At 36.9% G+C, this 15599-nt stretch overlaps 1 long non-coding RNA gene across 4 annotated transcripts in view; it reads left to right on the top strand.

Annotated features, from left to right (window-relative positions):
- The window catches only part of AHI1-DT (AHI1 divergent transcript), a 218255-nt gene that overhangs the window by 183995 nt on the left and 18661 nt on the right, over nt 1–15599 (top strand). For 3 of the 4 annotated variants that reach the window (NR_152844.1, NR_152845.1, NR_026805.1), the window contains one exon: nt 7828–9043. This is a non-coding gene — a long non-coding RNA (AHI1 divergent transcript). Of the gene's footprint in view, nt 1–7827; nt 9044–15599 lie in introns of those variants that run through there. The other variant, NR_152842.1, reaches the window with a different exon arrangement.

Raw genomic sequence — 15599 nt, forward strand, 5'->3', positions numbered from 1 at the left:
ATACTTGCCTGAATTCTCTTGAATCAATGAATCAGGCGTGGAAGACTAGAAGCAACAAAGAGAGGAGCAGGTAGTAGAGGGGGTAACTTTTAGAAGGCTGTAGAGTGGTCCCTTGATATCCACAGAGGATTGGTTCCAGGACCACCCACATATACCCAAATCCATGCATACTTAAGTCGTGCTATTGGGACTTTAGAATCCAGGTATATGAAAAGTCAAATGTGTATATGTGTGTGTATATATGTGTATATGTACATACATACATATATGTATATATATACATATACACACACATATGTGTATATATATATACACACACAGAGACTTTTTCCAAACAAAAGCAGATCAAAAATACTGTATATATATATACATATATGTATGTGTATATATGCATACATATATACAGTATATACATATATACACATACATATATGTATATATGTATGTGTATATATATGTATGTGTATATATATGTAGTATTTTTGATCTGCTTTTGTTTGGAAAAAGTCTGTGAATAAGTAGACCTGTGCAGTTCAAACCCATCTTATTCAAGAGTCAACTGTAATTTCAATATTTTGTAACAGTTTAGTCACCAATATTGAAGTTGAGAGAAGGAAGTTCTCTCTTGTGGACAATATGGAATGCTCTAAAACTTGAATCCAAATGTACATTCTTGGCATCACTCAAATAATGTGAGCGTGTAACATTTATGATATATTCAAGAGGCAAAACCCAATTCTTTACACTGTAGACCTGTTTTGTTGTTATTTTAGTTTTGTGAAGGCAAGGTTTTAAGGCAATTTAGTTCTAAAAGCATTACTGAGTATTTACTATTTGCAATTCACTGCACTTGGTAATAAACTAGAGGGAGATGCAGAAACTCTCTTTTCTCCACCAATTCTTCGAAGGAAAAAACATTTCCATTATCATTAGGTGACAATCTACACAGCTAATTGTACATATGAATTGACTGATAATTTACAGTTGCAATATGGTGTCATAAAAGGAGTCATAAAACTTTGTGACTTCGTTTGCTTTTTCTCTGTAAGATATGTGCTGCAAATGCAAACTAACATCAAATAAATAACTCCTGTCTTTATACATACATGATCTAATACTTTCCACAACTCTGATATTTAAGGTACTTCCATTATGACTAGTTAATTGCATAAATTCAATAATTAATTATATTCTAATGATCAAGAAGAATATTTATCAAAAATAAAACTTGCAGACATTGGGGAGGAATTAAGGCATGTTAACACATTTTCTATATCAATCAGGTACTTTTAGTGTAAATGTGTTATCAAGTGAACTGGAACATTAAATAGAGGAATTTGGTATCATTGTGGGAAAAATAATCTAATCACTTTTCAAACTTGGCTGCCCTTTGGAGCCATTTGAGAAATTTTTGAGAAGCAAGATACAGGTATTCTAATTTACTTGGTCTGCAGTGTGGCCCTTGCCAGGTGATACTAACATGTGGCATAGAGTGAGAACCATCATTATATAATCTAGAATTTAGTGTATTACTCCTTCAATATTATACTTCTCCTCCAGCTCTTGGGACTTTTCCTGATTTCATAGGTTGGTTGAGCAGTTTTTGTTATTGTTGTTGTTTGTTTTTTTAATGTTGACTTGTTTTCCCAAGTAGGTATTCTTCCTGGAAAGAGATAGTACTCACTATAAATAATTAATTGACTTCCTAGTCAAATTAGTCCTTGATGAGTCTAAACAGTGGGTGGTAGACATATCTCATCTCCCCAGTTTGATCACGCCATCCGTCCTTAAGATAACAGACCTATAGAGCTAGTAGGCCAACCCTAGAAACAAAAAAGGCAACAGTTATGTCCAGGTCATTACAGCTTGTCAATTTGCTTCTCCCAAATTACTGCACTTCTTGTTTCTTCATTGGGTTACACGCCTGCTTATTCACGTCCCTCGATCAGTTTTTCCTCAATCCTGGGTACACAACAGCATCACCTGGGGAGCATTTTAGATGCCTAATGCCTAATTACATCAGTCTCTGGGGGTAGTACCCAGTTATCAGTGTTCTTTAAAGCTCCTCAGAAGACACTGTGAACCATTGCCTTAGGCTGTAGTGCTCTCAATATTTACCTAAGACATTCATGAATCTGCATTTTCTTTAGTTGATATTACAGAGCTACAGACCAGCTCTGACCCAAGCTCATTTATATAATGGCAGATAGATACTATTAAAAACCTAAAAAAAAATTTAATAGAAGTCTTTGGTAATGTACTTACAGAGCCCTTGTACTTTGGGCCAGGGGCTCTTGTAAGCACTGTACATAGATTGAATTATTTATTCTAGCCACATCTTACAGATGAGAAAATTTCCCAGTGTTACACACTTAGCGTTTGGGCCAAGATTCAAATGAGGCACTCTGGCTCCAGAGTCACCAGTTAACCACAGGTGACCAGCAATGTGGCTGTTAAAACTACTAGATGTGATTTGATAGGTGATATTCTTACACTTCCATTTTACAGGTAAAGAATCAAGGTACAGAGAAAGTGTCCTAGGATCACACAGCTAGTAAGTGGCAGAGCTGGGATTTGAACTCAAAACAGTCCCACCCTAAAGATGATGTTCTGTTAATAATCTAGCCTTTTTTTTCAGACAAATATTCAACTGACCCAGCTTTCCATAAATTTATATTACTGCAGATTGGAATTTGGTATTGCAAGTTTCATTTGCACTTCTGAACTTATTCTTCATGTTTTACCCAGAAATTTATTAAAAAAAAAAAGAAATAAAACTGGTGGATTTTTCACCCTACTACAACTGACTGCACTGGAGAAGCAATTACTACAGAGATGCTACAGCTGCTTTCTTGATATTAGTCCACGGTTTTAAAATGTTTTTGATTTGTAAATATGTTAGGCACCACAAGTCCGTCAAGATGGTATGTAGAAAGAAGAAAAGATTCTCCACTCCAAATCTTTATGTGCCTGAAAATCCCTTTGATTTCCCTTATTAGTTTGGTATGTCTTTAATTTTATATTAAAAATACAGATTTCTTCCAGTTATGGGACATTGTCCCACTTCAAACTTTTAAAAACAAATTAATCAGAATTTTATGGTAATTGTTATGTAAATAGGACAAATATATCTCAGCCCTTTGGCAAGCAGCCTTGACAACTGAAACAGTTTCACACTGTGGATTTCAATCAATGTAACAAAGTTACTGAGCACAGTCTAAAATCAATGAATTCTAGAGTGCAGGAGTTTTTTAAAAGTTTCTTGCTTCTCGCATTTTAATATAAAAATCATCCCAGGCTATTGTTAAAATGCAAAAATCTGATTTGGGAGGCTTTAAGTGAGATGCTGGACTTCATATTTCAGTAAGGTCTCAAGTGATGTACATGCTGCTGGTCTGTGAACCACACTTTGAGTAGCAAGGACACAGTGCTGGTAAACTCGTTCTCCAAAGGAGGAAAACAAAGCCTTGGCTTGTAGTATTTGCTAATTTCCATGATATAAATGTTCCCACAAAGACCACATTCAAGCTACCAACGTGATGTCATTGAAAATGGAGTTGGGAAGAGACATTCAGCACGCTGCCCACAATTAGCTCTCCAACCAGGTACAAGCCAGTTCCAGCACACCACTGATCTACATAAGTATAAGTACATGCACCTTCAAGATCCCACAACATAGCTGTTTCACTCTGCAAAGGATTTCAGGAGGTGAGGGAGAATAAGAATGTCACAGGAAAAAATGACAAGATTAATTACAAAGTTTTCAGAATAGGTGCAAAATAATCTAGTTCCAAGGCTATATAGGCTGATGAGAGGGCATGTTTAAGAAGTTAAAAGACGTGTGTGGCCAATAATGGAGCCTTTGGGGAAGATCTGAACCCGGTTTGGACTGTGATGGGTTTGGATGAGTGGGAAAGGAGAACACGCACAGAAAAGGAAGTGGGATAAACACTAGCAAAATGTCTGATGCTAAACAAAATTGAAGGAAAACTTGGAATTCCTAAAGAGTTGGGAGTACAGTCATTGGTCCAGCAGAATGAGGGCATCCTGCTTTCACAAATGTTTTATTCTCTGGCATGATTGAGGAATAACATATTCAGATTAATCAAACATCCAGGTTAACAGAGAGTTGACATATGTACCAAAAAGAGATGCCAATGTTTAAAGTAATAGAATATATTAGAGTACACAGAACCTAATTTCTTTCTTCTTTGATGAAGAAAGGACTTTGAGATCTTCCATGTCTCAGAGCCATGGCTTTGAGCACCTTTGGTCCCTTCTGGTAGGGTTCTGTGATGGAGCCTGCAAAGTTTTGTTTGCAGTGTCCTGTAAGAAGAGTGTATTTTCAAGTCTTTCTCTAGGGCTGTAGAATGAGAGCATCCTAAGAAACTGACTCCCTTGGAGAGAATTTCTAACTGGCAGAAATGCTCTGCCTTGTAGTGCATTGAGTGGTTAAAAGCCCAGACTCATTTCCACATCTGTAATTGGGGCTAATAATACCAATCTCATATGGTTTTGGTGATTATTAAATGAAACTTGGTCAAGAAATATTGGTGCTCAATATTTGAATGAGCACTACAAATTAGTGCAGGCGTTGTAGCCAGGCATACACCGTTACTAATTTTTAAATCAGAATTGCTTAACAGACACTGATTGTCTACAAGGCCATAAACAGGATGAGGCTGTGGGGAGAAAGTATGGACTGGTCCCCAAGCCTGCAGAGCTAAGGTTTCTGCATTCTGCACACATCTTTGAAAGAATCTATGACCACCTGTGCACAATGTTTAAATGCCTAGGAACCTTCCCTTGCTACCCAGGGAGAGGTTTTCCCTAGACCCTCTGACAGTTCCCTCAGTCAGCAACTATATGAAAGAATTTTCTTACATTTCTGAAATCTGAATAGAGGTTTATTTGGGAAAAAATCCTTTTCCCTCCTGTCTCTTGGAATAAATGTACTATTTCGTTTTCTTAATTTGTACTATGTTAAGAACCAGTAGAGGGAACTTAAGGTCAATCTGTCTCTCAGGTTGAGTAACTCTAAGCTATAAGCTCCAGAATCTTGTCTTTGTCTCTAATTCCAAATGGGCTTGTGGGGAAAAGTGATATAACCATGAGATCACTGTGTTCTTTTAGATGATTTCCTGTTTCCTGTGTATTTAAATACACAGGGAATAATCCCGCTATTAAAATGAGACCCTGTATGTGTGTATGGGCAGAAGTTCAATGAAAAAGGAAGAAAAATATGCTTGCTGAATACCAGATGTAGAATGCATAAATCCTGTCAGAACAAGTGGGGAATAGCTTTTATGGCTGACTTGCAAGAAACCTAAGGGAATTGGGAAATCAGATAGGCATGTGTCAAGCAGACTTATTTAAATCATCCACTTCCTCAGCAAAATAAAAGTTTGAGAGGGTTCTGCTTCCTTTTGTGGTTTGAAATTACAGTTGTAGGCCTCAGAAGTCCTGCTTGATTGAGGGCTTCCAAGCAAAGACGTTATACAACCTAGTTCAGGCGCCCGACAACACTGGGGTCACCCAATGCCTCTCCCTGAGGTCTCCAACCTTGCCTTGTTTGTACTTTGTGTCCTTTGTCATCTCAGAAGCAAATTGTAGTGCAGCTGACCACTGCTTCATGGACCTCCAGCTTGTCCCTACTAAAAGGCTTTTGCATCTGAAAGAGAAAGATGCCCACTGGCTTCCTTCTTAGACCACTGCTGTAGATCCTGAGCACAAACCTTAGCTCTGCAGGCTTGGAGACCAGGCAATGCTTTCTCCTTGCAGCCTCATTCTGTTCACAGTTCGCACAGGGTTTATGGCCTTATAGACAATCAGTCTGTGGTAAGCAATTCTGATTTAAAAACTAATAATCTGTGTATGCTTGGCTACAAGGCCCACATGAATTCGTAGTGAGAGATAAACTAGATACCAATTATTTCCAGGTATAATATCCTAACAGGTAAGTTTTTCAGGAGGCCACATTGTAGTTCAGCAGGTTACTGGTGTGTATAGATACAAAGCAAAGGTATTTAAGTACAAACCATTTCCTTTAAGGTGTGGTAGCTCCCTAAATTGTTCTTCTCAGGATATTTCTGTTTTAAAATGTCCTGTTAAATATATTATTTTTATGTACAGTATAATTTTTTAAAAGCATGCTGACATGGGAAAATCATGGACTTTGCAGACCCAGGTTTAAGTCATTCCAAATCTACCACTTACTGATGTGTGAACTTCAGCACGTTACTGTACCTCTTTCAGACTCATTTCCTTATCTTCTTGCTGAGAATGTGTGTGTAAAAATATTAATATGGAATCTAGCATGGTGTCTAGCCCTTTGTGAAACCCTGACAAATTCTTATTCCTCACCATTCATCTGTTCATCTGTATTAGTTTGTTTTCACGGTGCTGATAAAGACATATCCGAAACTGGGAACAAAAAAAGGTTTAATTGGACTTACAGTTCCACATGGCTGGGGAGGCCTCAGAATCATGATGGGAGGCAAAAGGCACCTTTTTTTTTTTTTTATGGAGTTTCACTCTGTCACCCAGGCTGGAGTGCAGTGGCACGATCTTGGCTCACTGCAACCTCTGCCTCCAGGGTTCAAGCAATTCCCTTGCCTCAGTCTCCCAAGTAGCTGGGATTACAGGTTCCTGCCTCCATGCCTGGTTAATTTTTGTATTTTTAGTAGAGACAGGGTTTCGCCATGTTGGCCAGACTGGTCTCGAACTCCTCACCTCAGGTGATCCACTCACCTCGGCCTCCCAAAGTGCTGGGATTACAGGCATGTACAAGTATGCCCAGCCCCAAAAGGCACTTCTTACATGGCAGCAACAAGCGAAAAATGAGGAAGAAGCAAAAGCAAAAACCCCTGATAAGCCCATCTGATCTTATGAGACTTATTCATGACCACAAGAACACTATGGGGGAAACTGCCCCCATGATTCAGTTATCTCCCACCAGGTCCCTCCCACAACACGTGGGAATTATGGGAGTACAATTCAAGAGGAGATTTGGGTGGGGACACACAGTCAAACCGTATCACTACCCATCCATCCATCCATTCATTTATTCCTTCACTAAATGCCTGTTGAACACCTTTTATGTGCCAACCACTGTCAGTTAGTGGAGGCACAGACAAAAGTGAGAGGTGAACTCAGTTGATGGTATGTAGGTGGGTCTATTTCTGGGCTCTCTATGCTTCTCCATTGATTTATTTGTTTATTTTTTTCTCTTTGTTTGCCAAAGACTTTCTTAATCTTTAACAATGTAATTCCAGTGAGAGAAAAAGAAGTTTCAGAAGTAATATACCAAATCATGGGATGGGACTGTGGGGGTGGTGAGTGAGTTCAGGAGAGTGAGTGAGTTCAGGAGAGAGAGAGAGAGAGAGAGAGAGAGAGAGAGAGAGAAAATGAAGGCCATATAAGGTAAAGTGTTGAATGTTACGTGCTCTGTTGACTGTGGGCCCCAGGATGTGTATGATGGAATTTACTGAAACAGAATTTGCACATTTATAAAAAGGATGCAGTTTTAGAAAATAGCTAGTTATGCTAGCATCTTGTTTCTTCATTGATGCTGCAATGTTATATAAGCACTGAATCCTCCCACATTTCCAGCTCTTATCTAAAAGCCAGAATGTGTACCACCTGGGTTGAGAGGAAGATGAAATGAAATTGGGGAAGTAAATGGTAAAAAGCATCCTGAAAGAAACCAACTAGATATGTTCAAGTCAGCAGGTTATTTAGTATTTTGAGTTATTTAGTAATTTGAGTAATGTGTAAGGGGTGTACTGACATGCTTTTTCTCTCATTTTCTCCCTGTTCTGCCTGTAGCAATTCTACCACCTTTGTTGACCTCTTCTTCCCCCCAACTTATTGCTGTAGAGGCTACCTGAGCTCATTGTCCCTGGAGATGGACCAAATAGAAGAATAAGCAGTGCCTGTGTGGTGAGCTTCAAGAGGCATCTGTTCTCTGGGGAGTGGGTGGGTGGTAAAGCAAAGACGGGAGATGTGTATATTAGCTATCCATTACTGTATAATTAATTATACACAAAACTAAACTATACACTAAACTAAAACTTCACAGCTTAAAACAGGAAATATGTATTATCTCACACAATTTCTGAGAGTCAGGAATCTGAAAATGGCTTAGCTAGTTTGGTTCTGGCTCAGGGTGACCTATGGAGTTGCAGCCAAGATGTCATCTGGGACTACTATCATTGGAAGGCTCAGCTGGGGCTGGAGGCTACACTTCCAAGATGGCTCACTTATAGGGCTATTGGTGGGAGGCTTCAGTTCCTCTCCACATGAAACTTTCCTCATGCCATGGAACTGGCTTCCCTCAGAGTGAAAGACCCAAGAGAGAGACTAAGACAGAAGCTGCAATGTTTTTATGACCTAGTCTTGGAAGTGACTTACTGTCATTTCTACTGTATTTTATTCATTAGAAGCAAGTCATTAAGTCCAGCCCACATTCAAAGTAAGAGGATTTAAGCTGAACCTCTTGAAAAAATGGTATCAAAGTATTTACGGACATTTTAAAAACTACCACAATACATATAGGTGAACTTCACAAGGTGTAGACATGGGCTGAGACAGAATATTGGATAATATCTCATTCTGCAAACAGCAGCCTCATCTGTAATAAAATCCCAGCATTCAGAAATTATCACGATCAAGTAGGAAAAGGGCTTGTTGGAAAAAACTTATCAAAGATGTTACTTCATTTATCCATTTATTCTGAGCCATAGCATAATAGCGACAAATTGTGTGTCCTGTGTAATTTGGATACCTCTGCTCAATAATAGCTGAACAGATTTTATCCTATTTTTAGAATAGTTAATATATACACATGGCACAAAATTTAAAAGGTATAAAAGTTTCTGGTTCAAAAATAAGATTCCCTCATTTTCTTTTTTTCTGATTCTTTGAATGCAATTCGATTTACTGATTTCTCATGTAGCCTTAGAAAGTATTCTATGTACTTACAAACATATATGTACACATATTTTTTCTTTCCCACAAATAAAATACTGTATGCATTGTTTTATTCTTGGCTTTTTTTCAATGGACAGTATATCTTCAAGGACTTCTACAATAGCACATATAGACCTGCTTTATCTTTTTTTAAATGTCTGTCTAGTACTGCATTATATTTATTTAAGCAGTCATCTATTGACAGACGACATTAGGTTGTTTCCAGTCTCTTGTTACTATGGACAAAGCTGCAATGACTATCTCTGCACATTCATCATTTCTCACACAGGAGTAGAATTCTTCTTCATTTGTAACATTGACAGATATTGACAAATTTCTCTCCAAAAGGGCTTACCATTTTGCTCTCACTACAATATGAATGCCTGTTTCTTCAACCCTTGGCAGTACAATAGGTTACCCACTTTTTGATATTTGCCAATTAGGTAGGCACAAATGGTCTGCAGTTGCAGTTTTAATTTTTATTATCTTTATGAATGAGGTTGGGCCTCCTTTTATATGCTTAAAATCATCTGCATTTGCTTTACTATGAATTATTTGTTCTTAATCTTTACCCGTCTTTATATTGAGTTGGTGGGTTTTTATTTTCCTTACTGATGAGTGGGAGTTCCTTAGGATTAAAGAAATTAGCTCTTCTAAAGAATCGGTATACATGGACAGACAGAGTGGAATAATAAACATTGGAGACTCTGAAAGGTAGGGATAAAATACTGCCTACTGGGTACAATGTACGCTATTTGGGTGATGGGTATGCTAAAACCCTAGACATCACCTCTATGCAATACATCTATGTAAGAAAACTGCACTTGTACCTCCAAATCTATTTCTTTTTAAAAGAAATTAGCTCTTCATCTAGAGTGTGAGTGGCACGTATTTTTTCAAGTGTGTTTTTTCCATTTGTTTTTTGACTTTTTATTGGTTTTCTTTTTCTTTTTCCATGTAGTAATTTTAAAAAATATTTTTCTGTGGTCACATTTATCAGTTTTTTTCTCTTATAGTTTCTGGGTTTGCATCATTCTTAGAAAGTCTTCCCACTCCTAGGGTTACTAAGAATCCTCTTAAGGTTTCTTTTAGTACCATCATAATTTGATTTTTACATTTCAAATTTGACTGAATTGGTTCTTTTAATGCTTTACACTCTACCGAAGTATAAAATACTGCACTGACCATGTTTGTTTTGTTTCTGGTTCAGATATTTCTAGTTTATTCTCAGTTTTCTTCGTTTGTGAAATAGAGATAATAAGTATTACTGAGTACCATCCATGACTTTTAGTGGAGAGATGCCATCTTGATGACTGAAAGCTAAACCAGAGTTTTCTTCCTCATTCTCATTACTTAGAAACCTTTGCTGATGATTAGGTTTGGTGCCCTAATGGGACAATTGAGACTAACACGGTCTATAAGATAACTTGCTTCAATTTAAAAAGGCAAAATCAAATTAGCCATTTCATATCTGCCTACATAGGGGCTACTGCTTTCATTTGTAATGTTTAATTACATTTTTTTCCCCAAGAATACATACACACGGCTATCACTTCTAAAATAATTTTGGCTCCCTATGAAGCAGAATTGGAAAGTGTCTTAAAGTTAGTTTTGAATTGGTTATTTGGAATTCAAAATGATACTTCATTAAAACAATACCTTAAATATTGGTTAGGTTCTTGAGCCTTATTACAAATTCCATACTTATGTATTTATGATTCAGAATAGGAGGAATGGTGCTATGTCAATGACATGTAATGATATTTAATAACAGTGTGTCCCTGTTAATATGTGTCTGAGTGGCATATCAGGAATCCCAAATATGTCTTCCCCAGTCCTTCCCGTGCATCCTAGCAGCAGATGTGAGAACCCCAATAGCCCACTGGGAACTGGTTGCAAGGCCAGAAAGGACACTCTGGTCAGGAGAATACCTCTTTATATTAGTACCAGGGAAAGCTGTTTTCTAATATTTGGCAGTTGTCCTGAATAGGATAACTAGAGAAATTAGGTCTGTGGTGTAGAATTTCAGAGGCGTATCATATTTTTTCTTGGCAAATAATATGGTTTTGCTGTATCCCCACCCAAATCTCATCTTGAATTGTAGCTCCCACAATTCTCACGTGTTGTGGGAGGGACCTGGTGGGAGGTAATTGAATAATGGGAATGGGTCTTTCCTGTGCTATTCTCATGATAGTGAATAAGTCTCACAAGATCTGATGGTTTTATAAGGGGAAGTTCCCCTGCACACACTGTCTCTTGCCTGCTGCCATGTAATACGTCCCTTGCCCTTCCGCCATGATTGTGAGGCCTCCCCAGCCATGTGCAACCGTGAGTCAATTAAACCTCTTTTCTTTATAAATCACCCAGTCTTGGGTATGTCTTTATTAGCAGTGTGAGAGCAGACTAATACAGCAAACAATTAGCTTTAGGGAAGCTGGCAAGCATGAAATAGCGTCTTAGCCATCAAGGTGGGTTTTAAGGGAAGGGAGGTCCTGGAGAAGAGAAGGCAGAAGGCAGATCCCCAAGACAAGGATTCAGCCATACACAGAAAGAAGATAGCAATGTAGGTGTCTGGCATGGGAAGCAAGGTGGGAATTGAGGCTCGAGAATAAGAAAAAATCTAGATATCAGGACTAAAGTCTAAGACTACCTAGAAGAGTGAAATTATGCTGAGCCCCACACTGATGGTTTGGAGATAATTCATCTCCAGTGTTTAAGGTAGGGACCTGGGAACTGGGCCAAAGCATGGGTGAAAGGTGAGAATGAAGCGGGTCTGACTGTGGGGCAAGGAGAGGACAGTGGCTGATTATGGGACAGGGAAGATGTTTACCACCTCTGAGTGGAAGTTTATCACCACCGAGAAAGTGGATGACCATTATTTGGTGAACTACTTATACTGCTGTATTTTGTGTATAGTACTAAATATATATATATATTTGTTTCAGGATTATTTAATGGTTTTGCCCATGTGGAAAGAGGCATATGCTTATTCTATTTCTCAATGACATTTATGAGTGCTATAATTATAATAACAATGATGAAAGTTTGACTAATCAATATGTAAATAGTACTTATAGTGAGCCAAATCTATTAGAAAGCCAGCCAGTCTAAAAGAGAATAAAGTTCCCATATTGCAAATACAAATTATGATAGTTTGGAATAAAAATCAAATTATATTTTGCTCTGTGATGCATTGTGCATGCTATCTATGTTCTTTGCGTCTCCTTCCATCTGTCTTCCCGCTGTTTCCCTGCTCATTAACACCTCTACTAGAAAGTGGGCAGGGTGATGACAAGAAATAAAAATACAAGTTGAACTGCAACTAAGAATTTAACATTTAAAAAATGCCAACGTAAGAATGATATAAATATCTCAATTGTGAAAATAGACTGCGACCCTGGTTAGTATATGGTATTTTAAATATGTGAAAAATGTGAGGAATTGGAGCACATCCCATAAAAAAGAACAAGTTCACAGAATGTTATCAAGGGAAAGGACTGCAGAGATAGACTGCAGGAGCATCTTTCCATACAGGTGGGAAATGCAGAAAAATTCATTAAAAAAAAAAAAACGAATTAGCAAGTACGCGTAAACTCTGAAGACCTAAACACATTTCTGGAAGCTAACTGCAAAGCTTGGCCTAAACATGGAAATGCTGAGGTCACTTGCTGGAGTCAGGTACGGCATCTGCAATGGAAAGATTTTTTTTTTTTTAAAGAAGGTTATTTCAACATTTTCAAAAAGGAGGCTGGGGTGGAAATATATGACACTAGGTAAATATACATCAAAATATTTATATCATAATAGGCATGTAGTTTATTTAGGCTACTTTTATTATGTTTATACTTTACATCTCAAGATTTCTACAATGAACATGTATCAATTTTATTATGGGAAAGTGGGCTTTAAATAAAAAATTTATGTTCTGCTCTCATTTGCTTATCTGTCAGTGGAGTTTCTTCAGTGAATTTTACTAGTCAACCCGTTTTTACAATGGGATTGAGACAGGGATCAATGCTGGGAATTTCTGACATGCAAATGATTTTAATGATGAAAGCATGGAGTTTAGTCCCAATGAGGTCATGTATGCATGCTGATTAGATTTATCAGACTGCTTCTAAGCAGGAAGGACTTTTAAAATTTAAAGATTGAGCGACCCAACTTATAGGAAATTCAGTGGCTCAAACTATATTTTCCAAGTGGTGTGATAAGATAATTAGACACAATTAACTTGCAGCTAGAAGACAATTACCACCACAAAATGTTAATTGTTTGTTCTAGAAATTCCTGCATTCAGTCTCAAATTAGAAGTATGTATTAATATATATAATATTATACAAATATATTATTCATTACATATTACATGTAAAAGCTAATTGAGTATTACACATATTATTTATTAGTGAATCTCCCTGAGCTTCAAGGAAATTATAGACTTCAAAAAATTTTTGTGGCCTTTGGTACAAATGAAGCCGATTTTAGAATTTCACAGATTCTTTTATGAGGATAAATAAGTTTTTGTTTATATTTTTGTGGTACAAACCTAATAAAGTGCCCAAATCATCGGCCTAAACATGGAACTTATTTCAAGATGTATTGATTGATTTAATAACACAAAGTTGCTGAAGTTTTTAAGATATATTATCTGAAACCAACTGGAAATTTCTGATTATATTTCCAAATCTGGGCAAACTTTGGTGAACCCTATGTCTGTGAAAATGCACACTTGCTTATGAATCTGATAAGCTTTATTCTGAGATCCACTGTGAGTAATGCAAAACTGAATTCAGAATTGAGGATGTCCTGAGTTTACCCCAGAATTCACCAAAATATTCTAATTTGTTAAATACAAAAACTCTCATTGAAATGGATGAAAATGATCATGATTAGCATTAAAGCCGTAAGTGTAGATTAAGTAGCTTTCTGTTTAATGCTTCTAAATAGAATGCTTCTAATGGTACACCCATGTTATTTTCTATTAAGATATATTCCACTCATGTTTATCAATAAAAGCTATATGTATCACACACATACTGATTTCTGAAAATTGAAGTTTATACAAGTAAAGTAATTTTTTCAAAGTTACAGCATGGCTGGCTAGAACCTAGGTATGCAAAATCATACATAATCAGTGGTCATTCTACGAAACAATGCTACTTCTCCCTGTCGTTAGAGAACTAGGAGGGACCTTTGAAGGAATTTGATAGGAACTGAAAGTATTGTCATGTATAATTATAAGAAAGAAAGGTTAAAGTGTTTCCCAAAATAATTTTTACTTTATAAATGATTGATTACAAAAAGATTAGAAGATAAGATTAATTAGGTTTGTATGCCTCTTTTACAATTTATTACTTGTCATTGTACAAGTTTTAAAATTTCTGCCTTTTGCTTTTCATTTTTAAAATGGGGATAATAACTGTGCCTGTATCACATGGTTGTATTGGTGACTATGATTTAATAATATAAAAGGCTTGGACAATGCAATATATCAGTGTAGCAAAATTTCATTTATACCCCATGATTATATACAAATAAAAAAGAGAAAAATAACAATAATAAAATTAAAATAAAATAAAAAATAGCTTTGCAGTGAAAAATAATAATATAAAAAGCTTGGGACAGTGTTTGACACATCATAAGTGTTCAAAAAACATTAGATGTTATTATCACTATATGTCAAGCACTATGTTTTGCCCTTAGTATACATAATTTTAATCATTCCTTACAACAGCAGTGGGAGGATAAATATTATCATTCCCACATGGCAGTTTTCGTAAGTGACCATTTTTGCATGGCTAATATGATTAAAAGTCAACATTCATACCCAGATCTGTGTAAGTCTAGAACAGCAAGTTGGTAAATTAAAAACTATTTTACATTTTCAAAGAGTTGTTAAAAAAATGGGACAGAGACCATCTGTAGCCTGCAATGCCTGTAATACTTACTGTCTGAACCTTTAGAGAACATGTTTGCTGACTGCCACTCTAGTGCAGTTTTTTCTTCTGTAATATCAGACTAGGCTGCCTCCTGAAAACCAGATGCCTATTTTAATTGATAAAATCATTCATGTTTTCATTTATTTGACAGATATTTATTGAGTACTTGATATTTGTGAGGCGTGTGTCAAAGTTTGTTCAGGCTGCTCTAACAAGATACCTTAGACTAGGTAATTTACAAACAACGGAAATTTATTGCTCACAGTTCTGGAGCCCAGTAAGTCTAAGATCAAGGCAGCAGCAGATTTGGTGTCGGGAGAGGGTTCATTCTCTACTTCATAGATGGTATCTTCTTGCTGCACCCTAACATAGTAAAGGACAAACAAACTTCTTTGTCCTCTTTCATAAAGGTACTAGCCCCATGACCGAATCACCTCCCAAAGGCCCCACCTCTTAAAACTATTGCCTTGGGAATTAGGTTTCAACATACAATTTTTTTTGTTGTTGGGTTGGGGGATACAAAATTTAGATCATCACGGCATTTTCTAGACCTGTGGGTACCAGGTCTAGGAAAATGAGTGAGATAATAACATTTCCATCAAGAAAGTTGCAATCCTGTGAGGAAGTCTAAGAGAAAATAGACAATCATGGGACAGGGTGAAAGGTATTTTGGTTCAATATCACAGGCTTCTG

Source organism: Homo sapiens, chromosome 6 (genome assembly GCF_000001405.40).
Source record: "Homo sapiens chromosome 6, GRCh38.p14 Primary Assembly".
In the NCBI taxonomy this organism is placed as follows: domain Eukaryota; kingdom Metazoa; phylum Chordata; class Mammalia; order Primates; family Hominidae; genus Homo; species Homo sapiens.